Source organism: Homo sapiens, chromosome 1 (assembly GCF_000001405.40).
Source record: "Homo sapiens chromosome 1, GRCh38.p14 Primary Assembly".
Lineage (NCBI taxonomy): Eukaryota > Metazoa > Chordata > Mammalia > Primates > Hominidae > Homo > Homo sapiens.
This window is the reverse complement of record NC_000001.11, coordinates 150,614,567-150,639,840: the sequence shown is the minus strand read 5'-3', so window position 1 is coordinate 150,639,840 and position 25,274 is coordinate 150,614,567. Positions and strand designations below refer to the sequence as shown.

Here is a 25,274-nt window from a genome sequence, read left to right as displayed (position 1 = left end):
CCCGAGTAGCTGGGACTACAGGCGCCCGCCACCATGCCCAGCTAATTTTTTGTATTTTTAGTAGAGATGGGATTTCACCATGTTACCCAGAATGGTCTCGATTACTAATTTTGTAATTTTAGGAGAGTTGAGGTTTCACCATGTTCGCCAGGCTGGCTTGATCCCAACCCGCCTCGGCCTCCCAAAGTGCTGGAATTACAGGCGTCAGCCACTGCACCCGGCCAAGTAATACTATTTTAAATGAGGTGGCTAGCTGGGAATGGTGGCTCACTCCCGTAATCCAAGCACTTTGGGAGGCCGAGGTGGGAGGACTGCTTGAGGCCAAGAGTTTAAGACCAGCCTGGGCAACATAGTGAGACTCTGTGTCTATTTTTAAAAAATGAATAGTGAACATATATAGCCAGCACCCAAATCAAGAAACAGATCGTTACCAGCACCCTAGAATCCCCCCTCATACCTTTTCCCAGTTGCTATTTTCTCCCTTAAAGGTAACCACAATCTTGACTTGAAATACCATAGATTGGTTTTGCTTTTGAGGTTTATACAAATGAAATTATGAAATATGTATGTTTTGTGACCATGAATTAACTATTTTACTTTTTTTGAAGATTTGATTGACCTAGTTTGGGGCAACTATAAATAGAACTACTATGAATATGTGTTTTGGTATAACATAAGAATGCATTTCTTTTTTAATTTTTTTTTTTTTTTGAGACGGAGTTTTGCTCTTATTGCCCAGGCTGGAGTGCCATGGCACGATCTCAGCTCACCACAACCTCCGCCTCCCAGGTTCCAGTGATTCTCCTGCCTCAGCCTCCCGGGTAGCTGGGATTAGAGGCATGCGCCACCACGCCCGGCTAATTTTGTATTTTTTAGTAGAGACAGGGTTTCTCCGTGTTGGTCGGGCTGGTCTCGAACTCCCGACCCCAGGTGATCCGCCCGCCTTGGCCTCCCAAAGTGCTGGGATTACAGATGTGAGCCACCATGCCCGGGCTCTTTTTTAATTTTTGTGGATACATAGTGGGTGTATATATTTATGGGTTACATGAGATGTTTGATATAGGCATGCAATGTGTAATAATTACATCAGAGTAAATACAGTATTCATCACCTCAAACATCTATCCTTTATGTTTCCAACAATCCAATTATACTCTTAGTTTGCTTGTTTGTTTGAGATGGAGTTTCACTCTTGTTGCTCAGGCTGGAGTGCAATGACGCAACCTTGGCTTACTGCAACCTCTGCCTCCCAGGTTCAAGCGATTCTCCACACTCAGCATCCCGAGTAGCTAGGATTACAGGCACCTGCCACCATGCCTGGCTAGTTTTTGTATTTTTAATAGAGACAGGGTTTCACCGTGTTTGTCAGGCTGGTCTCGAACTCCTGACCTTAGGCAATCCACCCATCTCGGCCTCCCAAAGTGTTGGGATTACAGGCATGAGCCACCGCACCTGGCCTCTCTTTTAGTTATTTTTTAATGAACAATTATTTTTTACTATAGTCACCCTGTTGTGATAGCAAATACTAGATCTTACTTTTCTTTCTATATTTTGTGTACCCATTAACCATCCCCTCTTTACCCGCATCGCAAAGAATGCATTTCAATCGGGTATATATACCTAGGAGAGGGATTGCAAGGTCATGGGTTTTGGATTATGTACAGCTTTAGTATATATTGCCACCAGCTTTCCAAAGTATGTTGTACCAATTTATACCCCAACCAGCCATACTGCAGGTCTTTGGAACTGTCAAGTCATATATTTATGAGCATATGATTGTGCTGAGCAGAAGTCTGGATAAATAAAAGCCACTGTTAATTCCTGTGACCTTGCTTTAATTTTATAGAAACTGAGCTGCATTGGTTGGTTTCAGGGGATCTATGTACATCCTAAAATACGTATAATATTGCATGTATGTATTTGTGCTTAAGCACATTTGGGGGACAGAAGAACCATAGTTTATACCAGATTCTCAAAGATCAGATTTGGAAAAACTGGTGGCAATATATACTAAAGTAAACATAATGCAATACTTTACGCACACCACCCCCACCCCAACAAAAAAAAAGTTAAAAAGCTTAATAATGACTGCTTTATGGGAGTCCAACAATCAAGAAGCTATTATTACTCAGGAATACTTTGCTTGTTATTAGCAAATACTGTTCCAGGTTGGTGGTGGTCTGTTGACACAGACACCCAGTCCAAACAGCCAGGTTTCCTGTGGTTAACAGAGAAGGATTAGAACTCTTGACTACTTAATTTTCCTTTTATTTCTAGTAGGTTAAAATCTTTTATTAAAATAGCTTCTGGTGTGGGGGGGAATAGCTTCATAATGCTTTTTATAATTATATATTTTCAATAACTATATTTTTAGAATAGATTCATTGCGATTATAATTCACATACCATACAGTATACCCATTTAAAGTGAATAGTGGTCAGGTGCAGTGGCTCACGCCTGTAATCCCAGCACTTTGGGAGGCCGAGGCGGGTGAATCGCCTAAGGTCAGGAGTTCAAGACCAGCCTGGCCCATATGGTGATACCCCATCTCTACTAAAAATACAAAAAGTAGCCGGACGTGGTGGCGGGCGCCTGTAATCCCAGCTACTCCGGAGGCTGAGGCAGGAGAATGGCTTGAACCTGGGAGGCAGAGGTTGCAGTGAGCTGAGATCGTGCCACTGCACTCCACCCGCCTCAGCCTCCTGAAGTGCTGGGATTACAGGCTTAAGGTACTGCGCCTGACCATTTATTTTTATTAACAAATAATATTCCAATGTATGGATATACCATAGTTTATCCATCAATTGATGGACCTGGTAACTATTTTAAATTATGTCTGTATAGAATATAATGTGTCCATAGCAAAATCTATATTTTCCCTCCTAAACCTTCTACTTAAGGCCTCCCCGTCTCAGTAAACAATGTTATCATTCACCTAGTTGCTCAGACCCAAAACTTTGAAATCATCCTTGAGTCTGCAAATGCTGTTGGTGGTACCTTTAAAATAGATCCCACATCTAGCCATTTTCAACCATCTCCATAGCTACTACACCCTAGTCCAAGTCACTGTCATCTCTTACCTGAACTATTGTAAAAGCCTAATTGGTTTCCTGCTACTACTTCCACTCTGGGTCCCCATGGAGCAGCGGAAGGATCAGTTTAATACCTAAATGATTTTGTGTCAGTCCCCTCCTCAACACCATCTGATGGGTGCCCATTACACAAAAAATAAAATCCAAGTTCTTACCATGACCTAAGAAGCCAAAAACAATCTCATCCCTGCCTGCATCTCTTCTCTTATTCCGGCTCTTAGCTACATTGACCTTCTTGCTGTTTCTCAAATACACCAAAAATATGCTTTTGCTTTAGGAGCTTTGGATTTGCTCTTCCCTCTGCCTGAACCAGTTTCCCTCCAGATAACTGTTGGCTCACTCCCCAACCAGATTTCTGCTCAGATACCTCAGGTCTTCCCCCAATCACCCGATCTATGGCCCAAAGTGGTGGCTCACACCTGTAATCCCAGCACTTTGGGAGGCAGATGGATCACTTAACGTCAGGAGTTCAAGACCAGCCTGGCCAACATGGTGAAACCCCGTCTCTACTAAAAATACAAAAATTACTATATATATACCTCTTCCCGCCCAGTCACAAATAGAATAATCTGGGCCCCAGACATTGTGCTAGTTTTTGTGAAACCTCACTCATATTTTACAGGCTGAAAGTTCCACCCTTCCTAATGCTCAGTAATTTAGCTATATCAAGGATAAATGGGCTGGGCACGGTGACTCATGCCTGTAATCTCAGAACTTTGGGAGGCCCAGATGGGTGGATCACCTGAGGTCAGGAGTTCAAGACCAACCTGGCCAACAGGGTGAAACCCCGCCTCTACTAAAAACACAAAAATTAGCCAGACATGGTGGCGCGCACCTGCAATCCCAGCTACTCAGGAGGCTGAGTGAAGGGGTGGCCTGCCCCTCCACACTTGTGGGCATTTCTTGTCAGGTGGAATGAGAGACTTAAGAAAAGAAGGAGACACAGAGACAAAGTATAGAGAAAGAAAAGTGGGCTTAGGGAAGTGGCGCTCAGCATACAGTGGACCCGCACCGGCACCAGTCTCTGAGTTCCCTCAGTATTTATTGATCATTATTGGGCGTTTCTCGGAGAGGGGGATGTGGCAGGACAATAGGGTAATAGTGGAGAGAAGGTCAGCAGGAAAACATGTGAACAAACGTCTCCGCATCATAAACAAGGTAAAGAAAAAAGTGCTGTGCTTTTGATGTGCATACACATAAACATCTCAATGCCTTAAAGAGCAGTATTGCTGCCAGCATGTCCCACATCCAGCCCTAAGGCGGTTTTCCCCATCTCAGTAGATGGAACATACAATCGGGTTTTACACCGAGACATCCCATTGCCCAGGGACGAGCAGGAGACAGATGCCTTCCTCTTATCTCAACTGCAAAGAGGCCTTCCTTCCTCTTTTACTAATCCTCCTCAGCACAGACCCTTTACGGGTGTTGGGCTGGGGGACGGTCAGGTCTTTCCCGGCCAGCATATTTCAGACTATCACATGGGGAGAAACCTTGGACAATACCTGGCTTTCCTAGGCAGAGGTCCCTGCGGCCTTCCGCAGCGTATTGTCTCTGGGTACTTGAGATTAGGGAGTGATGATGACTCTTAACAAGCATGCTGCCTTCAAGCATTTGTTTAACAAAGCACATCCTGCACAGCCCTTAATCCATTTAACCCTGAGTTGACACAGCACGTGTTTCAGGGAGCACAGGGTTGGGGGTAGGGTTACAGATTAACAGCATCTCAAGGCAGAATAATTTTTCTTAGTACAGAACAAAATGGAGTCTCTTATGTCTACTTCTTTCTACACAGACACAGTAACAGTCTGATCTCTCTTTTCCCCACATTTCCCCATTTCCTTTTCGACAAACCACCATCATCATCATGGCTTGTTCTCGATGGTCGCTGTCTCTTCGGAGCTGCTGGGTACACCTGCAGACTAACAACAGATAAAACAGGCACACAAGGATTAATACGAAATTTATAATAGTAGTACTTCCGATGGTCTTAACCCAAGTGACAGGGTTAAGATTTGCGAGGCCATCAGTCACTCCTGCGATTGCCTCAGTTTCTGGTACCAAATTTAAATGGGCTTTTGATGCTTCGAAAATTGGTTCTCTATCTTAAGAGGAGACTCAGACTTAAATAGTAAGAGAATATTAACCCCAGAGGCAATAAAAGAAATTAAATTAGTGGAACAAAAAATTCAGTCAGTGCAAATAAATAGAATAGATCCCTTAGCCCCACTCCAACTTTTGGTTTTTGCTACTGCACATTCTCCAACAGGCATCACTGTTCAAAATACTGATCTTGTGGAGTGGTCATTCCTTCCTCACAGTACAATTAAGACTTTTACATTGTACTTGGATCAAATAGCTACATTAATTGGTCAGGCAAGATTACAAATAATAAAATTGTGTGTAAATGACCCAGACAAAATAGTTGTCCCTTGAACCAAGGAACAAGTTAGACAAGCCTTTATCAATTCTGGTGCATGGCAGATTGGTCTTGCTAATTTTGTGGGAATTATTGATCATCATTACCCAAAAACAAAAATCTTCCAGTTTTTAAAATTAACTACTTGGATTCTACCTAAAATTACCAGACGTGAACCTTTAGAAAATGCTCTGACAGTGTTTACTGATGGTTCCAGCAATGGAAAAGCGGCTTACACAGGGCCAAAAGAGCAAGTAATCAAAACTCAATATCAATTGGCTCGAAGGGCAGAGTTGGTTGCAGTCATTACAGTGTTACAAGATTTTGATCAACCTATCAATATTGTATCAGATTCTGCATATGTAGTACAGGCTACAAGGGATGTAAAGACAGCTCTAATTAAATATAGCATGGATGATCAGTTAAACCAGCTATTCAATTTATTACAACAAACTGTAAGAAAAAGAAATTTCCCATTTTATATTACTCATATTCGAGCACACACTAATTTACCAGGGCCTTTGACTAAAGCAAATGAACCAGCTGACTTACTGGTATCATCTGCATTCATAAAAGCACAAAAATTTCATGCTTTGACTCATGTAAATGCAGCAGGATTAAAAAACAAATTTGATGTCACATGGAAACAGGCAAAAGATATTGTACGACATTGCACCCAGTGTCAAGTCCTACACCTGCCCACTCAAGAGGCAGGAGTTAATCCCAGGGGTCTGTGTCCTAATGCATTACGGCAAATGGATGTCACGCATGTACCTTCATTTGGAAGATTATTATATGTTCATGTAACAGTTGATACTTATTCACATTTCATATGGGCAACCTGCCAGACAGGAGAAAGTACTTCCCATGTTAAAAAACATTTATTACCTTGTTTTGCTGTAATGAGAGTTCCAGAAAAAATTAAAACTGACAATGGGGCAGGATACTGTAGTAAAGCTTTCCAAAAATTCTTAAGTCAGTGGAAAATTTCACATACAACAGGAATTCCTTATAATTCCCAAGGACAGGCCATAGTTGAAAGAACTAATAGAACACTCAAAACTCAATTAGTTAAATAAAAAGAAGGGGGAGACAGTAAGGAATGTACCACGCCTCAGATGCAACTTAATCTAGCACTTTATATTTTTTAAACATTTATAGAAATCAGACTACTACTTCTGCAGAACAACATCTTACTGGTAAAAAGAACAGCCCACATGAAGGAAAACTGATTTGGTAGAAAGATAATAAAAATAAGACATGGGAAATAGGGAAGGTGGTAACATGGGGGAGAGGTTTTGCTTGTGTTTCACCAGGAGAAAATCAGCTTCCTGTTTGGATACCCACTAGACATTTGAAGTTCTACAATGAACCCATCGGAGATGCAAAGAAAAGCACCTCCACGGAGACAGAAACACCGCAATCGTGCGCCATCGACTCACAAGATGAACAAAATGGAGTCTCTTATATCTACTTCTTTCTACACAGACACAGTAACAGTCTGATCTCTCTTTCTTTTCCCCACAGCTGAGGCAGGAGAATCACTTGAACCTGGGAGGGGGAGGTTGCAGTGAGCCGAGATATCACATCATTGCACTCCAGCCTGGGCAACAAGAATTAAACTCAGTCTCAAAAAAAAGGACAAATGTATAATTTAAATCAATCGTTCCTTTAGCAATCATAGTTTTTACACATTATTCTTAAGCAGAGCTTGGAATTAGAAATAGCTTGATCAGAAAGTATTTCCCAAAAGAATTATTCATCTTTTAGATGAATCCCAAAGTGCTGGGGTTACAGGCGTGAGCCACCACATCCAGCCTCATTCGCCTTTTCTAAAAACATGCTTGAGTCTTGCCTATTCCCCAAAAGAAAATCTGCTGCTACAGCTCTGCCCTTTCCTTGCTTTACTGTTAAATATTGCTACCACTGTTCAATATTGGTACCACCTCCTCGCTCCTTAACGTCTTGCGATTGACCTCTATCACCTCCATCTTTAATTTCTGTATCACATTTAACATTGACAACCTGCCCTCCCTTTCTTCATTTGCTTTCCATGGCTCTTCTCTCTTCTAATTCTCTCCCTACCACTCTGATCATTTGTATGTCTTTTGCCAACTTTTCCCCACGTTTCTGTCTTGGGAGTTTTTTTTTTTTTTTTTTTTTTAAGAGACGGGTTCACTCTGTTGCCTAGGCTGGAGTGCAATGGCATGATCATAGCTCACTGTAACCTCAAACTCCTGGCTTCAGGCGATCCTCTCACCTTGACCATTCAAAGTGTTGGGATTACAGGTGTAAGCCACCGCACCTGACTGGAACCTCTTTTTTTCCTACATTCTCCTTTGTGATCCCATCAACTTCCACAACTTTACTTACATTTATGTGAAAAAGTCCAAAATTTGTACATCTTCAGCGTCTACTTTTCTCCCAAACTCCCACACTTACATTTCCTAGAACCCTTAAATTTCAGATATGGAGATCTTAGAGGTCATTTATCCTAAGTCTTCATTGCCTGGATGTCTCCACCAAATGGTTCATTCGCTTTTAATAAAGTCCATGTTTTCAGGCCGGGCACGGTGGTTCACGCCCGTAATCCCAGCATTTGGGAGGCCGAGGCAGGCAGGTCACCTGAGTTCAGGAGTTTGAGACCAGCCTGGCCAACATGGCGAAACCCTGTCTCTACTAAAAATACAAAAATCAGCCGGGCATGGTGGCGCACACCTGTAGTCGGGAGGCTGAGGCAGGAGAATCACTTTAACCCGCGAGGCAGAGGTTGTAGGGAACTGAGATTGTGCTACTGCACTACAGCCTGGGTGACAGAGCGAGACTCCGTCTCAAAAAAAAAAAAAAAAAAAAAAAAAAGTCCATGTTTTCAAAACTGAATGCCTTATTTTCTCTCTGCTTTTCAGCTCCATTCCCAAATTGACTCCTCTTCTTGAATTTATTGTTTCTATAAATAATCACCTTGAGGCACACAGTCTTCTCATTCTCTATTCAGTCAGCTGCTAGTCTAGTGGATTCCATTGTCACAGACTCTCTTGGTTAGGTTCACTATTTTCTATTCTTAACTACTACGTTTCTAGGTTAAATCCTAATTATCTCCCACCTAACGTTTGCAGAGGACTCGGCTAGACTGTTCATCTCTGGTAGTTTTCTGCTTGGAATTCTGAGTCTTTTTATTCATTACCACCAAATTATCTCCATAAAGAGCACTTCTTATCTGCCACTCTTTTTTTTTTTTTTTTTTTGAGACGGACTCTCACTGTCACCCAGGCTGGAGTTCAGTGGCGAGATGCGATCTCGGTTCACTGCAACCTCCGCCTCCCAGGTAAAAGCGATTCTCCTGCCTCAGGCTCCTGAGTAGCTGGGACTACAGGTGCACGCCACCACGCCTGGCTAATTTTTGTATTTTTAGTAGAGACGGGGTTTCTCCATGTTGACCAGGATGGTTTCTATCGCCTGACATCATGATCCACCCTCATCGGCCTCCCAAGGTGCTGGGATTACATGCGTGGGCCACCGTGCCCAGCCTTGTTTTGTATTTCTAGTAGAGACAGGGTTTCACCATGTTGGCCAGGCTGGTTTCGAACTCCTGACCTCAAGTGATTCGCCCGCCTACGCCTCCCAGAGTGCTGGCATTACAGGCGTGAGTCACCGCGCCCAGCCAGGCCTGTAAGCTTTCTAAGGGCAGAGACTGCCTTACTATACACGTACCCCCCCCAACTAACACAGTACCATCCACATACAGACAGACGCCCAGGAAATGTTAAACTGTAATTCTGGATAGGTTAACTAGTATTAACCGTATTTACCAAATGTTTACCACATACTTACACTGTCCTCCTTGTTTCAAGGAGCGTAGTCCCCAAGGGATCACCCTGATGGAATATAAAAACTACACATAAGAGTGAAACTACGGAACGTAAGCCATTAGTGTTTTGCAAGACAGCTCGGGTTGAGACTCAGTCTCTCTCTTCCACAGGCCAAGTGACACATCGTAATACCATTGGTACCGTTTTATTTTATTTTTCGCGACAAAGTCTCGTCCTGTCACCCAGGCTGGAGTGCAGTGGCGCGATTTCGGCTCACTGCAACCTCCGCCTGCAGGGTTCAAGCGATTCTCCTGCCTCAGCCTCCCAAGTAATTGGGATTACAAACGCCCGCCACCACGCCCGGCTAATATTTGTATTTTTAGTAGAGACGGGGTTTCACCATGTTGGTCAGGCTGGTCTCGAACTCCTAACCTCAGGTGATCCGCCCACCTCGGCCTCCCAAAGTGCTAGGATTACAGGCGTGAGGCACCGCGCCCGGCCTGTTAGTACTACTTTAAAATCGAATCTGACCTCCAAATCATTTTCTGGAGCTCGATCATTTTCTGCTAACACCGCAAAGCTTAATCCTCTCCACCTGAGAATAAAAGGTTCCATCCTTCCGCTCTCCAGTTTGACGCCCTGCTAAGTCTCTCGGACGCGGTGGGCTGGAGTGAAGGAAGCCGGAGCCCACCAAAGCTGCAAAAGTACCACAGCCAGCAGCCCCGCCCCCGATATCCCCCACAGGCTTCCAATTGGTCCTTGTGGCTCACTCTCTTTCCAGGTTGGTGTTCCAGCTTGCCGGTCGCCTCTATAGAGCCCACCTTTAGACGGCGACTATTGGTAGATCGTTACGTCATTGCCCTATCTACCTCACTCCCACTGGCTCTCATAGGAAGGGGCGGTCGCAACGTCACGGGCAAGGGCCGCCATTTTGACTGAGCAACCCTAGTGACAGGAGCCGAAGCAGCAGCGCAGGTTGTCCCCGTTTCCCCTCCCCCTTCCCTTCTCCGGTTGCCTTCCCGGGCCCCTTACACTCCACAGTCCCGGTCCCGCCATGTCCCAGAAACAAGAAGAAGAGAACCCTGCGGAGGAGACCGGCGAGGAGAAGCAGGTGAAGTGGAAGGGGTGCGGGCGGGCGAGCTGGGGAGACCGTGATGGGGCGGGAGACGGTCTCCCACCAGTGCGGATTGGTCGCCATGGTCTCAGGCTCCGCAGGGGTTGGCCACTTTTTGCGTCACGCTGGGTGAGCTTCAACACGACATGCTGCTTTGGCGCTGGTTAGTTGGGTCGTTTGTCACTCAGTACTGTACTCTTCCTGATTGGCCAATAGGCCTACCGCTCAAACCTTGGACGCTGTGCTATAATTGGCCGAGCATGGACGTGGGGCGGGTGGTTGGAAAGACGGTGAATGGAAAGGGGATGGCTGGTGGTCTTGGGTGTGATGTGTGTTATTGGTTTGTAGAGGTAAGTGACCCAGCAACCGGGCTGGGGCCCGCAGCCTCAATCCGCAAAGATAGGGGTCGAGGTAAAGACGTTTAAAAAAAAACCAGTATTGGGGGAGGGGAGAAGTGTAGTTATTATAATGGCTAGTTTAAGGCGGCAACTTTCTCAAGAGACCTATTTTAGTAGCTAAGGATGGTCTATTGCTCACCTTCAGTGAGGACCCAGCAATATTGAAGAGGGCTAGAGTTCCAAACAGAATCATGGTAATTAAACTTGGAAAAGACGCCGACAGGGTCGTGAGAAAGACACTTCTCTCTTCCCCTAGACTTCCAAGGCAGGGACTTAGTGCACCTGCGATTCCGTGATGGAAACACTAACGCCAAATAAACCCCTTATTGGGGTTTGTATTTGACTTTTAAAATTTAGTACTGGGTTCAGGTACTCATTAAATACACTTGGTGTTATATCTATGCGTAATTTCCAAGAGAAAGGAATATAATTCCACTAAAAAGAGTCATACGTTGACTTCATATCTTTTCAAAAAGTCACTAAAGGGCAGCAGGGACCACAAAAAAAAAAAAAAGAGATTGACTACAGTAGTGAGAGTCCCTGCACCACCAGGGTAGGTATTGATTTTTTTGATGAAAACTGGTGGGTAAATACTAGTGAGCCTACTGTATCTTTGTTTTCCTGAGGTTAAAAACAGTATCATTTTCCTCTCTGTTTATCAGCTTGCTACCATAATATTTGTGGAAATGTTGAAGCAAGGCTGTGCCATTACTCAGGTGGAGATCTTTGGAGAAGGCCACATAGCTAGCCGCCTCCACAGGGAGACCTAACAGGTGGCTTAGACCTTGAATAAAGAAGGAACTGCTTTGTCGTGTAGCAATTTTAAAAAAGAAAGAAAAAAATAAGGAGGAAACATTTAGCAAACTATTTTTTGTTGTTGTAGAGACGGGGTTTCAACATATTGCCCAGGCGGGTAGTGAATTCATGAGCTCAAGTGATGCACCTGCCTCAGCCTCCCAAAGTGCTGGGATTACAGGCATGAGTCACTGCTCCCAGCCCCAAACTATTTTTTTTTTAATTTCTCATGTGACATGTAGGATAGCCTAGGGAACCCTGCTACTCATCCTCTATCACCAGAAGCCCTGCTTTTTTCTCTTTGTCTTTCTTAGCATTTGTGCTGAGTGATATGGCCCACTCTGTGATTAAAGTATTGTGTTTAGTATTACCTTTAGCCCAATACGCACAGGTCCCTGGCTGGTTCCTTGGGTGAAGTGTGAGAAGCAGCTTGTCTTTTTCTCTCACAATAGTCATCTTGAGCTTTAGGGATTTTAACAAAGGTCTAGCTTTAACAGCAGAGTAGAGATAGCGTATTTACAAGTGGGTGGATTTCCAGGAGAAGTTGATAGTATAGTTGTTATCAGATGTGAGAAGCTGTTGTTTCTCAGTCTTTAATTTTATTTGGCTCATTTGTTTTCTCCAGGACACGCAGGAGAAAGAAGGTATTCTGCCTGAGAGAGCTGAAGAGGCAAAGCTAAAGGCCAAATACCCAAGCCTAGGACAAAAGCCTGGAGGCTCCGACTTCCTCATGAAGAGACTCCAGAAAGGGGTATGGGGCATAGTCTCTTACCCTCTTTCTTTGGAGCTAAAGGAGGTTCTTCGAATGAAGTCTGTAGAGGTTCTACTGGATCCTTTTCTGGAGGTTTTGTTGTTGAACAGAAGTAGAGGCGAATTTGAAATTTGAAAAGAGCAAGTCAAATTAATGTAAATCCCTGATGTGGTATCAATTCCCTCCTGATTTCCCATGTAGGAAATTAAGGCCTAAATTGGAGCATTTGGGTGTGTGGGGAAATGAGGGAAAGATGTTAGAAACTGAAATGCAGACTGCCCCCAGGCATTTGCCTGTTTGAATGTTGGAGGTTTTAGGATTGTGCACTTTTTAAGCATTAGAGATAAATTTTGGGATGCATCATTTCAGAAGAAGATCAAACCATCTCTCCTACAGAAATAAATCCTCAACTTGAAATGAATCAGTTTCTTCATACCCTTGAAGTGAGCACCAGCCATTAATTATACTCCTGCAGCAAATGTATTTTTCTTGTTCAGAGTGGTCCTCCTTACCAAGAGAGAGTCTACTTTCATAGCCATGTAGCTCCTGATCAGATTTTTAGTTCCCAAAGGTACCTAAAGCTGACTGAGGGATTATATTATCGTTTTTTAAAAAAAAAATTTGGCCAGGCGCAGTGGCTCACGCCTGTAATCCCAGCACTTTGGGAGGCCGAGGCGGGCGGAGCACGAGGTCAGGAGATCGAGACCATAGTGAAACCCCGTCTCTATTAATAATACAAACACTTAGCCGGGTGTGGTGGCGGGCGCCTGTAGTCCCAGCTACTCGGGAGGCTGAAGCAGGAGAATGGCGTGAACCCGGGAGGCGGAGCTTGCAGTGAGCCGAGATCGTGCCACTGCACTCCAGCCTGGGCAACATAGCGAGGCTCCATCTCAAAAAAAAATTTTTTTATTTTCCTTACTCTCCTCTGCAATGACTGTAGGATTATAAATCATTACATTGGAGTGTGCTTCTCTGTGCGGATGAAATGGTGGGTGAAACATCCCTGTGGAGGATCCCAGTTATTGAGTCTTAGTCACAGATGATAATGTGATGCTGATTTGCATTTACCTTGCTGGAGGCAAGGCAGGCGTGGGCAGGCTGTCACAGTCATGGAACATGTGTGGGAGCTGTGAGAGTCAGAAGGAAAATACATTATCCTCATGAACAGGCCCAGTTTCTATTCCTGGTCTGGGAGAATAATCATTTTGAGGTTGTTGGCTTGTGGTTGATCTCCTGGTGGCTAGGATAGCCCCATATTTATCCTTCTCTATATCTTATTCATTTCTGTTTCTCCAGTTCCAGGCTATTGCCCTGTACCCAGTAAGGTCCTCAGTTACCCTTTATGAATAAGTGATTTTGGTGGAACGATCCTCTACTGAGTGGAGTACAAAGGATGGCAGGGGCTATCCCTTGACTCCAAAACTATATACTCTAGCTGGGAAATTGCTTATGTACCTGAAAAAGTCAGAACACACTGGGGAGAAGACATAAGTACATGTAATTAATGTTAAACTGTGTATGCATGAGGTTAATCAAGGAAGACTTCTTGAAAGATCCGAGTGTGCATGAGGGTTTATAATGGATGTGAGATGTGAGTCTCCTTGTTTTTGAGGAAGGCCAGAGTCCTCACTCACCTAAACCTCCCTCTTATCTCTTAGCAAAAGTACTTTGACTCAGGAGACTACAACATGGCCAAAGCCAAGATGAAGAATAAGCAGCTGCCAAGTGCAGGACCAGACAAGAACCTGGTGACTGGTGATCACATCCCCACCCCACAGGATCTGCCCCAGAGAAAGTCCTCGCTCGTCACCAGCAAGCTTGCGGGGTAACCTGAGCCCCCCTCTCCTCCCCTTCCTCAACCACTGGACGTTTATATATTATAGGCAGGGATGAAATGGGCACCTAGTCAGATCTTCTCAGCTTGCTAGCCAGAAATGACTGTGATTCTGCTGGGGGCTGCTGAGAAGGTAATGTAGGTTGAAAAGGGGCTCTAAGTTTATTTATTTCGTTAGATTGACACTTCCACACACTCCCTGTAGTCCAGGTAGGGCCCAGAAATAGGAAAGGCTAGGATTGGATAATGCTGCAAATGCTTTTTTTGTGTGAGAAACTGGAGAGATGTGATTTCTCCTTTTGGGAGAGAATGTCCCAAAATTGATTAGGCTGAGCCTTGGGAATAGTTTGGCAGGTTTAACATCCCAAGGCTAACCTAACGTAGTTGGGAAAGGTAGATTGAATGAGACATGTTTTCTGTGCTTCTAAGTGTTCTGTCCCTTAGGCTGCTATTGCTTCATGTTTCCATTATGGCAGGTTTAGAGAATCCTTAAAAAGAAAAATTGACTTGCTTGCCTAAAACTACAGTGCCCCCTTAGCCTCCATTACTTAGTATCTCTTACAGTTTGCTCTGGCTCTCAAATAATATAAAGATTGATGAACATTATTCACAGAAAATGGGCACCTTCTCTCTCTCTTCCAGCATGTTGCTTTTGAAAGTATCATGGGATAGTGGGACGAGCACTGGTTTAGGAGTCAAGATATCTGGGTTCTCACTCTACTCAGTCCCAGCAGAGCTGTTGTATAACCTTGATTAAGTCATTTAGCCTCTCTGGATTTCTATTTCCTCATCTGTAAAATAGAGTTAAATGTATGTAAGATTGATTCTGATTCTGAAGTCTTAACTGCCAGCAGAAAAACTCCATACTGTTCATTGTAAAACTAAAAGTGAGGAAGGCTCGTGGGTGGTGAACCTCTGCTCTGTAATACTGGGAAAGTACTACAGAGGGGAACCATTTGAGGGATACATGAGGAGAGAGTAAATTGAGGTTTGGGGATTATAAATTCAGGCAAGAGAACCTTATAGATATCACAGTCTTGAGGGTCAAAAAAAAATACTTAGGAAGCTAGCCATGGAAGCTTCTTGCCTCTGACCCAGCCCACTTTCCCAGCCTACCTCTGGGCCTTAGCTGCTAAAAAGCTTCTCTGGCAGCGGAGCTGCAGGCCTGAGGAAACATGCTCAGTCATGCACATGTGTTGACCCATGTTTCAGATGCAGTCTGATGCCAGGTATATTGTTAGGGAAAGAGGAAGAAGGGTAAACTGAGCTAGCCCCTGGGGCTGAGTACTCCTGCAGGGCTGGAGGAACAGGTTCTTAGAAGATGATTCACCTTGGAGGAAGCTGGGGAAAGTGGTTAGGGAGGGAGAGGAGGAAGACTGAGAAATCTCTGCATCCCCAGAACTCAGCAACCCAGCTCTTTTATCATGAGGAGAGGTAGCCATGCTGACTCATGAACAGGTGGAGGAAAGGGGTTGCAGGTGACCAGCATCTTCAATCTAGTTACCACCAGCTTGGCTAGAATTTTATTGAACGCAACTTGCTAGTTATGACAGAGAGGACCAGGGTGAGAACTAATGCTCAAGAGAGCAAGATTCTGTAATCCTCTTGCCCTCTCACATCACAAATTCTGATATGCCAAACATTTGGCCCAATGAGAATGACTGATAGACTTGCTGATGTGCATGTGGGGGGATGAGGTGTGTATATGCCTTTCTCCTGACTGGCCATTCAGTGTTCAGGCTGTCATTCAAATTGGATAGGAGAAAGTTGGTGAGGAAGGAATGGAGAGAGCAGGATCCCTGGACTCCCTGGTCCCCAAACTCCTTGACTGTCACTTGTAATTGTATATAATTTTTGTGTTTCTTGCTCCATTTCCTCATGCTGTCATCCTTAAAGTCCATCTGGGAAGGGGAAAATGCTGAACACCATTGTATAGTTTCTTCAACTGTCCCAGCCATGTTGTACATAGATATGTCATGTTATTATATATATAAATATATATATAATTTTGTACGTTTTCTTCATCTCCGATCTTCTCAAATTCTGTACTTTTTTTCTTTTCTGTCTGAGCTGCCTTCTCTATCATTCAGCTTGAGTCCTCAAGACTACTGGTCACAATGAGTCTGATTTTTAGGAAGGAATAGGAGGAGCAGGGAAATCAGAAAAACTGTTGGTCTCACTCTGTCTCTCTACCTGGTCATCTTCAAGGCTAAGAAAACAAACAAGCTACATTCTGTATTTGCCAGTTTCCACAGCATGAAGTACATAGCTTCCTTAGCAAGGAGTGGTCATTCCAAAATCCAAATGCAAATTGCTTTGATTAAACCTAGATTATTAAATCCATTCAGAACAGCATGTGTGTGGTCTGGTTCTGGCCTCCACACAGTCACCACCTCATCTCTGTGCTACCTCAGTCTTTGCAAGTAGCTGTGGCCATGCCTCTGAAACAGCCTGCTCTGAGCCAGGCAGCTTACCCACCTGGAAACCTCCAGTTATTTTGATCTTATCTAAAGAATTATTTTTCTATGTTTGTTATCCATGGATATCCCAGAAAGGCAGATAACGTTGTTTCGTGGATAGGAAAAGACTGAAATTCTATTTTTTGATTTTTTTTGCAACTCCCTTATGGATAGGATTGAGACATGCCAGGTAGCCTAATGGTTGTTAAATGTGGAGGAATCATGGGGTAGAGACTGGGTTGGAGTTCAGGGTTTTTTTCCCCTATTACTTGACAGTGTTGTTTTTTTTTTTTTTCTTCTGTGTTCGTCCGCAGTGGCCAAGTTGAATGATGCTGCCCGGGGCTCTGCCAGATCCTGAGACGCTTCCCCTCCCTGCCCCACCCGGGTCCTGTGCTGGCTCCTGCCCCTTCCTGCTTTTGCAGCCAGGGGTCAGGAGGTGGCTCGGGTGTGGGCTGGAGAGGCAGAAGCCCTTTCCTGTTGGTGTCCCAGCACATGGAGCCCCTTGGGCTGAGCACCAAGACCTTGAACCTTTTTTGTTTTACCTTTTTTCCAAATAACAGTTGGGAGAAATATCAATGAAATTCTGGGGGTGGGGGTGGGGTTGAAAGGGTGGGGTGGGAGATATGGAGGAGTATGAATTAGGGCTTGGAGTTGGTAAAAACATTCCTGACTATCCTTCTTAACCACGTGGCTGATGTGGGGTAGGTATGAGGGGAAGGAAGTGGAGTAGCCTAATGAAAAGGGGTTCTAGTTGAGCTCTGTAGATAAATGCCTTGTTTCAGTGTGGTTGGAGACCTGGTGTCAGATAAAAGAAACTCCATCCGCACAGACAGATGCAAACAGCTCCTCTAGTTCTGCAGAGCTAGTTGAGAACTCAACATTAATCATTTTAAAAAGTACTGTCCTTGAAATAGATTTGCTGTGGGAAGAAGGGCAGTGAGTGTGGGAGAAAGGAGCCGTGAGCGTGGGGAACCCCACAGAGCCCAAAGGACTTTTTCAGTATTCGAAATAAACAAAACAAAAACCCATGAAAAAACCCAACCCAGAAATATTCTGAAGCAGTTGGTGTGTTTTATTGGGGTTTGGGAGGGGGAAGAAAACAATACTGAAGACATTGTTAATGTGAGATGCGGCTGAGTTCCCCAATACCATCACTTAGGAAAGGGAGCAGGAATGTTGGCATAAACCTTGCCCATCCCTTTGTTTCTGTAACCAATGTAGAAGGTGCATCAACCTCAGTTTGTGGCTCACAAAATGAGGCATTTAAGATATTTGATCTAAATGGTTTCTTGACACCTAAGCCTAGTCCAGGTTTAGCAGAAAAGGAGGCCCAGTCTCCTTTTCCCTCTGTCTTCCATTCCTTTTCAAGTTCCCATGTTTGTGAGGGAGAAATGTGACAAACCAAAAGAAATATATTATTTCTTTGTAATAAGCCAAAAGAAACTCAAGTCTTTCTGCTGGTGGCCAGCAGGAGGCAGAGTGATTTCTTTCCTCATGATGTGCCAATCTGCATTGCTGGAAACCTGCTACTGAAAGAAGTTAAAAGCTGCCTGTGAATGTAACGTACAAAAGAAAGGTTACCAAAGGAGAAAAAACTCCAGCGGGTGTACGGTGGCTCACGCCTATAATTCCAGCACTTTGGGAGGCCAAGGTGGGTGGATCACTTGAGGTCAGGAGTTTGAGACCAGCCTAGCCAACATGGTGAAACCCCATCTCTACTAAAAATACAAAAATTAGCCGGGCGTGGCGGCACATGCCTATAATCCCACTTACTTGGGAGGCTGAGGTAGGAGAATCGCTTGAACCCAGGAGGCAGAGTTTGCAGTGAGCCGAGATTGTGCCATTGCACTCCAGCCTGGGCGACAGAGCGAGACTCCATCTAAAAAAAATAAATGAATAAAATAAAACAAGTACAAATTTAAACTAGAGACACAAGTTAATGGTGTTTATTGTGGTGGGGTTAGTGAGCCATCCCATGATTTCCTCCTGAGTATGTTATCCCTGGTTTGTGTTTGCCAGCTGGGGAATGAGGTGAGGTCTATGAGGCTGAATGTGGGATCATTCAATTTCTTTCTTTCTTTCTTTTTTTTTTTTTTTTTAGAGGCAGGATCTTGCTCAGTCACCCAGAATGGAGTGCAGGGTGCAAACACTCACTGTAGCCTCAACCTCCTGGGCTCAAGTAATCTTCCCATCTCAGCCTCCCAAGTAGCTGGGACTACAAGCACACACCACCACACCTGGCTAATTATTTTTTGTAGAGATGAGGATTCACCATGTTGTCCAGGTGAGTCTCAGAACACAGGCTTAAGCACTCTTCCCATCTCAGCCTCCCAAAGTGCTGGGATTACAGGCATAAGCCACTGCGCCTGGCTGAGAATATATTTTCATCCTTTCTTTTGTAGAGAGGATCTCGTTTTGTTGTGTAGGCTGCTCCTGAACTCCTGGCCTCAAGCAGTCTTTCCACCTCAGCCTCCCAAAGTGCAGGGATTACAGGTGTGAACCACTACACCCAGCAGTTAGTGCAATTTCATTTTAATACAAGTGAGGAAATTAAGGTATAGAGATAAGTTACTTGTAAAGTAGAAAAGCTAGTTAGCTGAAGAGCTTGAGTTAGTATCTTAGGCTTTTATATTATTTCTTCCCACTATTCCTGGCTTCCCTGGTCCTCAATTTTAATTTGTGGCCTTAAGAAGCCTGGGGTGCCAAAAATGTTTGGGGCTATCTGTATTTCATGTTACTCCTTAGCCTTTTTTTTTTCCTTTTAGTTCTTCACCACTGCACACTTGGCAGGATGTATCCCATTTTAAAACTTGACAGTCCATCTCCTTCACTCCCATACTGTAGGGCTAGGCAAGCAAAGCAAACTGATTCTGCAATGCTTCTAATAGTTATTCCTGCTCATTATTTTAGCTAGATGTATTCTAAAGTCTTTATCCCAAAGAGTTGAATCAAAGGTTCTTCCACTCCTCCAACCTGATTGTGCTGACAAGCCACTAAGCTGAGCCATCTAATATACAGGGTGGCAGGGATGAAGTCACCGTTACTGTCCAACAGCTTTTATTTTAAGCTGGTGTGGGCTGGGCATATCAAAGACAGGCAAAGAAAAATAACTTGGAGAGTTGCCATTGAGGATATATCCACAGTGAGCCAACAGCACCCACACAAGCAGCCCTCGTCTGTATAATGCCCTCTACTGGGTCTTGAGGGAGATTAAAAAGAAAGATCTCTTCCATCCTGGGGAACCTGAGATATGACAGCAGCACACAAATACAGGCAGATTTATAGTTCTAAGCAGAGTTCCAGTAGCTAAGCTAAGGGAAGGAGAGTCAGGAGATAAGCTGTTAGCTGAATTTTATTAAAGACAGATGACTTCACTAGTAAAGATAAAGTGGGACCTCCCGTGGTTGGGCTGCAATATTTTAAGTCCCAAGTGACTGCTGAATACTCGCTTTGCAGTTGGAAAAATAAGCTGTTTTTGGCCAGATAAACAGTGTAAGAGGTCATCTCTGCTCTAGAGGAACATGTAACCTAATTGAGACACTTCTACATATAATGCAAGATAGCATATGGTTAGTCAAGTAGTAGAATTCTGAGAAGAGAAAATCTGACTGGACTCATTAGGTAAACATAAGTGGTGGAAATGGACATTTAACTGGGCCTTGAAAGGTGGGTAGTATTTAAACAGTGCAGTTACTTAATAAGTGTCCACAATATGCCTGGCATTGTGCTAAAATACAAGGTAAATTGTATGTGGCTGCCTCTTTCAAGGAGATTACATTGTAGTGGTGACCTACACATGAAGAAATCATATTACAGTGTTAAACTTACAGCAGTGGTGGTCTAGCTATACAGAGGAATAGGGACAAGTAATTAATTAATAATAGTTGCTTTTTTTTTTTTTTTTTTCTGAGACAGAGTCTCACTTCGTCACTGGAGTGTAGTGGTGTGATCTTGGCTCACTGGAACCTCCACCTCTGGGTTCAAGTGATTCTGCCTCACCCTACGGAGTAGCTGGGATTACAGGCATGTGCCACCATGCCCTGCTAATTTTTGTATTTTTGGTAGAGATGGTGTATCACCATGTTGGCCAGGCCAGTCTTGAACTCCTCACCTCAAGTGATCCACCCACCTCAGCCTCCCAAAGTGCTGGGATTGCAGGCTTGAGCCACTGCTCCTGGCCTGTTGGTTTTTTTTTCTTTTTAAGACAGAGTCTCACTCTTGTCGCCCAGGCTGGAGTGCAGTAGTGAGATCTCAACTCACTGCAACCTCTGCCTCCTGGGTTCAAGCTATTCTCCTGCCTCAGCCACCTGAGTAGCTGGGATTACAGGTGACTGCCACCACACCTGGCTAATTTTTGTACTTTTAGTAGAGACGGGGTTTCGCCATGTTGCCCTGGCTGGTCTTGAACTCCTGACCTCAGGTGATCCACCTGCCTCAGCCTCCCAAAGTGCTAGGATTACAGATGTGAGCCACCGCGCCTGGCTGTGGTTTTTTGTTTTTGTTTTTTGTTTTGTTTTGTTTTGTTTTTGAGGCAAGGTCTTGCTCTGTTGCCCAAGCTGGAGTGCAGTGGTGTGATCTCAGCTCACTGCAACCTCCACCTTTTGTGTTCAAGCGATTCTCGTGCCTCAGCCTACCAAGTAGCTGGGACTATAGCCATGCACCACCATGCCCGGCTAATTTTTGTATTTTTAGTAGAGACGGGGTTTTGCCATGTTGGCCAGGCTGGTCTTGAACTCCTGACCTCGAGTGATCCACCCGCCTCAACCTCCCAAAGTGCTGGGATTACAGGCATGAGCCACCGCACCTGGCCTTTTTTTTTTTTTTTTTTTTTTTTGATACAGGGTCTCTGTCCCCCAGGCTGGAATGCTGGAATGCAGTGGTGTAATCATGGCTCACTACAGTCTCAGCTCCTCACTACGAGGTCAGGAGATTGAGACCATCCTGGCTAACACGGTGAAACCCCGTCTCTACTAAAGATACAAAAAATTAGCCGGGCGTGGTTGCAGGCGCCTGTAGTCCCAGCTACTCGGGAGGCTGAGGCAGGAGAATGGCCTGAACCCAGGAGGCGAAGCTTGCAATGAGCTGAGATCGCGCCACTGCACTCCAGCCTGGGCGACAGCGAGACTCCGTCTCAAAAAAAAAAAAAAAAAAGTTCGAGACCAGCCTGGCCAACATGGTGAAACCCCCGTCTCTACTAAAAATACAAAAATTAGCCAGGCCTGGTGGCGGGTACCTGTAATCCCAGATACTCCGCAAGCTAAGGCAGGAGAATCGCTTGAACCCAGGAGGCGGAGGTTTCAGTGAGCCGAGATCAAGCTACAGCACTTTAGCCTGGGCAATAAGAGTGAAACTTCATCTTGAAAAAAATAAAATTTTAAAATCCTGATTTTTTTTTATAACTCTGAACAAGTTTCTTTAACTCTCTGCCTCAATTTACTTACTTGCATAATAGTAACGACATGGTACCTACCATGAGGGTGGTTGTGATGATTAAGCAAGATAAGGCTTGTAAAGGCCTTACTTCAGGGACTACAAAAGTGCGTAAAACATGGTTCCAGCTGGGCGTGATGGCTCGCGTCTGTAATCTCAGCACTTTGGGAGGCCAAGGCGGGCGGATGGCCTGATGTCAGGAGTTTGAGACCAGCCTGACCAATGTGGTGAAACCCTGTCTGTACTAAAAATACAAAATTAGCCAGATGTGGTGGTGTATGCCTGCAATTCCAGCTACTTGGGAGGCTGAGGCACGAGAATTGCTTGAACCCGGGAGGCGGAGGTTGCAGTGAGCCGAGATTGCGTCACTGTACTCCAGCCTGGGCAACAAGAGCAAAACTCTGTCTCCAAAAAAAAAATAAAACATGGTTCCTGCCCTCAAGGAGTTTACAGTATACAGAGGGATATAATAAAAACAGACAGATAAGGAATTAGAAGGGATTGGTGCTAAGACAGGGACAAACACAAAATGCTCTAGAAGCACAGAATAGGGGAACCTACCCAATTTGAGGAGGTGGAGGAAGGACAGGAAAATCCTGTCACAGAAAATAGCTTCTAAGCTGAGATCTGATGAAGTAGAAGAATTTATTCAGGTAAAGGGGTTAGATCGGGAAAGGGGTCTTCTGGGTAGAAAGAACTATGTAAAGTGATTCAGAGTTATTACATTCTGCAAACTGGGAATAATTCACAGTAACTGTAGTAAGCATCCAAGGGGCAAGGCCAAGCTGGGTGTAGTGGCAGGTGCCTGTAATCCCAGTTACTCAAGAGGCTGAGACAGGAGAATCCTTGAATCCGGGAGGCGGAGGTTGCAGTGGGCCGAGTTAGCACCATTGCACTCCAGCCTGGGCGACAGAGTGAGACTCCGTCTCAAAAAATAATAAATGAAGTAACAATGGTGAAGTTTGAAGTAACTCAGGTGAAGTAACACCTAAGTGGAAATTCCATACTCCACTCAGTAAACCATTATCATGGGCTAGTTGAATTGTAAGACACTTTATTATGTTGCTACAATATTTCAGGTGAGAGATGATTAGGAACCAAGGAAGGTAATGACAATGGGTATAAAGAAGAGTAGACAGGGCTGGGCATGGTGGCTCACGCCTGTAATCCCAGCACTTTGGGAGACCGAGATGGGGGGGATCACCTGAGGTTGGGAATTCAAGACCAGCCTGGCCAACATGGTGAAACCCCATCTCTACCAAAAATAGTAAAAATTAACCGGGCGTGGTGGCGGGTGCCTGTAATCCCAGCTACTCAGGAGGCTGAGACAGGAGAATCACTTAACCCAGGAGGTGGAGGTTGCAGTGAGCCAAGATCGCACCATTGCACTCCAGCCTGGGCGACAAGAGCAAGACTCCATCTCAAGAAAAAACTCAAACACCAAATACAAAAGAAAAAGGACTGGAGTATCCATTTGATTTGGCAGTTAGTAACCTTTTTGAGACCAATTTCAGTGGATTTGTAGAGGTGAAATCTGGCTTATAGAACTAAGTAATATGGAGAGGTTTTGTGGTTGTTTTAGGATGGGAATAATTCAGGCATATTTATTGAAAGAGTGAAAGGAATAAGTAAAAGCTGGAGCTCAGTAGAGAATGATAATAACCAAAAAGCAGGGTTCTGAAGAGAAAGGAGGTGAAATGAGCACAGGTGGATGTGGTTTAGTTACATGGTCTACTTCTGCAGACGTTTGCTGAGCACTTACCGTGTGCCAGCCACTCTACTAGGTGGTGGGGTTAGTCTACTTGGGAAGCCAACTGAGTGAGAAAGTGGTCTCAAGTAGGACTATATATGCCTCATCCTGCTGGAGACTCAAGGCGAAAATATAACAGTAAACTCCCAGCTGATTGTTTTTGACTGGGGCTAAGTAATTTATAGGAGTCGTTGTCTGACAGCTTTAGTCAGACTTGTAAAGTAGGATGTTAGAGAGGTGGGAGTGTAAAAAGTATAGCCATAAAAGGACATAGAAGAGAGGAGGGGCGGAGCCCAATGACTCAGGCGCCTATAATCCCGACAGTTTGGGAGGCTGAGGCAGGAGGATTGCTTGAGTCCAGGAGTTCCAGACCAGCCTGGACAACATGGTAAGAACTCATCTGTACAAAAAATAAAAGCCAGGCATGGTGGCACACGCCTATAGTCCCAGCTACTTGGGACGGTGAGGTAGGAAGATCTCGAGCCCAGGACGAGACTGCAGTGCACAATTATCGTGCTTGTGACTAGCCACTGCACTCCAGCCTGGGCAACATAACCAAACCCCATCTCTTAAAAAAGGTGGGGAGGGGTGGTTAGGAAGCAAGCAATGTTGAGGTTCTAACAGATTGGTACCATGAACATGTAATGGTACCAATCCATATCTTTGTGCTATTTTCTCTAGAAGCACCTAGCTCCCTGGGTACAAGAGCAGGGACGACATTATTGTTTAGATCCTGAGTCAGGATTTGTAGACAGATAAAGTATACTAAGAAGGAAGCAAGGGGATGAAAGTGCTGGTGAAAGATTAAAGAATCTCTCTGATTATAGCTAGATAAGAAAATAGGCTAAGGAAGTTGTGATAAACTGGTCAAGCCAGGCGCGGTGGCCCACACCTGTAATCCTAGCACTTTGGGAGGCTGGGGTGGGTGGATCATGAGGTCAGGTCAGGAGTTTGAGACCAGCCTGGCCAACATAGTGAAACTCCGTCTCTACTAAAAATACAAAAAATTAGCTGGGTGTGGTGGCGTGCGCCTGTAATCCCAGCTACCAGGGAGGCTGAGGCAGGAGAATCTCTTGAACCCGGGAGGCAGAGGTTGCAGTGAGGCAAGATTGCGCCATTGCACTCCAGCCTGGGCAACGAGCAAAACCCTGTCTCAAAAAAAAAAAAAAAAAAAAAAAAAAAAAAAAAAACCTCTGGTCAAGAGAATTCTTTGTTTCTTTCTCTATTATTTATTTATTTTTAAGAGAACTCTTTATAAGGTCAAAGAGCAGATGATTTAGAAGCAGAAATGATTAACCTGGAAGTTCAAAACATTGTAGCAAGAATATAAAATTTTAGATTGGAGCCAGGTGGTGGCTCATGCCTGTAATCCCAGCACTTTGGGAGGGGAAGATGGCTTGTGCCCAGGAGTTCGAGACCACCCTGGG

At 44.5% G+C, this 25,274-nt stretch overlaps 1 protein-coding gene and 1 long non-coding RNA gene across 10 annotated transcripts, besides 11 other annotated features; one reads left to right on the top strand and one right to left on the bottom strand.

The window, feature by feature from the left end:
* Positions 1,189-1,805: an enhancer, noted in NCBI's record as "H3K27ac hESC enhancer chr1:150610512-150611128 (GRCh37/hg19 assembly coordinates)". NCBI's record gives its function as "activates a minimal SCP1, AML or CMV promoter by ChIP-STARR-seq in primed H9 embryonic stem cells {active_cell/tissue: H9 hESC(primed)}" and the evidence as "EXISTENCE:reporter gene assay evidence [ECO:0000049][PMID:30033119]".
* Positions 2,950-3,574: an enhancer, noted in NCBI's record as "H3K27ac-H3K4me1 hESC enhancer chr1:150608743-150609367 (GRCh37/hg19 assembly coordinates)". NCBI's record gives its function as "activates a minimal SCP1, AML or CMV promoter by ChIP-STARR-seq in naive H9 embryonic stem cells {active_cell/tissue: H9 hESC(naive)}" and the evidence as "EXISTENCE:reporter gene assay evidence [ECO:0000049][PMID:30033119]".
* Positions 3,575-4,200: an enhancer, noted in NCBI's record as "NANOG-H3K27ac-H3K4me1 hESC enhancer chr1:150608117-150608742 (GRCh37/hg19 assembly coordinates)". NCBI's record gives its function as "activates a minimal SCP1, AML or CMV promoter by ChIP-STARR-seq in primed H9 embryonic stem cells {active_cell/tissue: H9 hESC(primed)}" and the evidence as "EXISTENCE:reporter gene assay evidence [ECO:0000049][PMID:30033119]".
* Positions 4,115-10,022, bottom strand: LOC112268239 (uncharacterized). Of its 2 annotated transcripts, XR_002958362.2 has the most exons (3): positions 9,848-10,022; positions 9,339-9,382; positions 4,115-5,010 (listed from the first exon to the last, which is right to left on the bottom strand). It is a non-coding gene; the product is annotated as an uncharacterized LOC112268239 (long non-coding RNA). The 2 variants fall into 2 exon arrangements; XR_007066603.1 differs by having other exon boundaries at positions 9,339-10,022.
* Positions 4,201-4,826: an enhancer, noted in NCBI's record as "OCT4-NANOG-H3K27ac-H3K4me1 hESC enhancer chr1:150607491-150608116 (GRCh37/hg19 assembly coordinates)". NCBI's record gives its function as "activates a minimal SCP1, AML or CMV promoter by ChIP-STARR-seq in naive and primed H9 embryonic stem cells {active_cell/tissue: H9 hESC(naive and primed)}" and the evidence as "EXISTENCE:reporter gene assay evidence [ECO:0000049][PMID:30033119]".
* Positions 4,827-5,452: an enhancer, noted in NCBI's record as "OCT4-NANOG-H3K27ac hESC enhancer chr1:150606865-150607490 (GRCh37/hg19 assembly coordinates)". NCBI's record gives its function as "activates a minimal SCP1, AML or CMV promoter by ChIP-STARR-seq in primed H9 embryonic stem cells {active_cell/tissue: H9 hESC(primed)}" and the evidence as "EXISTENCE:reporter gene assay evidence [ECO:0000049][PMID:30033119]".
* Positions 8,565-9,534: an enhancer, noted in NCBI's record as "NANOG-H3K27ac-H3K4me1 hESC enhancer chr1:150602783-150603752 (GRCh37/hg19 assembly coordinates)". NCBI's record gives its function as "activates a minimal SCP1, AML or CMV promoter by ChIP-STARR-seq in naive H9 embryonic stem cells {active_cell/tissue: H9 hESC(naive)}" and the evidence as "EXISTENCE:reporter gene assay evidence [ECO:0000049][PMID:30033119]".
* Positions 9,535-10,502: an enhancer, noted in NCBI's record as "NANOG-H3K27ac-H3K4me1 hESC enhancer chr1:150601815-150602782 (GRCh37/hg19 assembly coordinates)". NCBI's record gives its function as "activates a minimal SCP1, AML or CMV promoter by ChIP-STARR-seq in naive and primed H9 embryonic stem cells {active_cell/tissue: H9 hESC(naive and primed)}" and the evidence as "EXISTENCE:reporter gene assay evidence [ECO:0000049][PMID:30033119]".
* Positions 9,535-10,514: a biological region, named in NCBI's record as "NANOG-H3K27ac-H3K4me1 hESC enhancer GRCh37_chr1:150601815-150602782".
* ENSA (endosulfine alpha) lies at positions 10,229-18,595 on the top strand. Of its 8 annotated transcripts, none has more exons than NM_207042.2 (5): positions 10,229-10,427; positions 12,249-12,374; positions 13,315-13,362; positions 14,033-14,199; positions 16,982-18,595. In NM_207042.2, the coding sequence occupies exons 1-5, from the start codon at positions 10,371-10,373 to the stop codon at positions 16,995-16,997; spliced, it is 414 nt and encodes a 137-aa protein (NP_996925.1). In that variant the 5' UTR covers positions 10,229-10,370; the 3' UTR covers positions 16,998-18,595. The 8 variants fall into 8 exon arrangements, with proteins under 8 accessions (NP_996925.1, NP_004427.1, NP_996926.1 ...); NM_207045.2 differs by lacking the exon at positions 10,229-10,427 and adding an exon at positions 10,702-10,780; NM_004436.4 differs by lacking the exon at positions 13,315-13,362 and having other exon boundaries at positions 16,982-17,716.
* Positions 10,245-10,514: an enhancer, noted in NCBI's record as "active region_1697". NCBI's record gives its function as "activates an Ori minimal core promoter by ATAC-STARR-seq in GM12878 lymphoblastoid cells {active_cell/tissue: GM12878}" and the evidence as "EXISTENCE:reporter gene assay evidence [ECO:0000049][PMID:35858748]".
* Positions 13,135-13,666: an enhancer, noted in NCBI's record as "H3K4me1 hESC enhancer chr1:150598651-150599182 (GRCh37/hg19 assembly coordinates)". NCBI's record gives its function as "activates a minimal SCP1, AML or CMV promoter by ChIP-STARR-seq in primed H9 embryonic stem cells {active_cell/tissue: H9 hESC(primed)}" and the evidence as "EXISTENCE:reporter gene assay evidence [ECO:0000049][PMID:30033119]".
* Positions 16,894-17,188: a silencer, noted in NCBI's record as "tiled region #6366; HepG2 Repressive non-DNase unmatched - State 12:CtcfO, and K562 Repressive non-DNase unmatched - State 14:Gen5'". NCBI's record gives its function as "represses a minimal TATA promoter and a strong SV40 promoter by Sharpr-MPRA in HepG2 and K562 cells {active_cell/tissue: HepG2 | K562}" and the evidence as "EXISTENCE:reporter gene assay evidence [ECO:0000049][PMID:27701403]".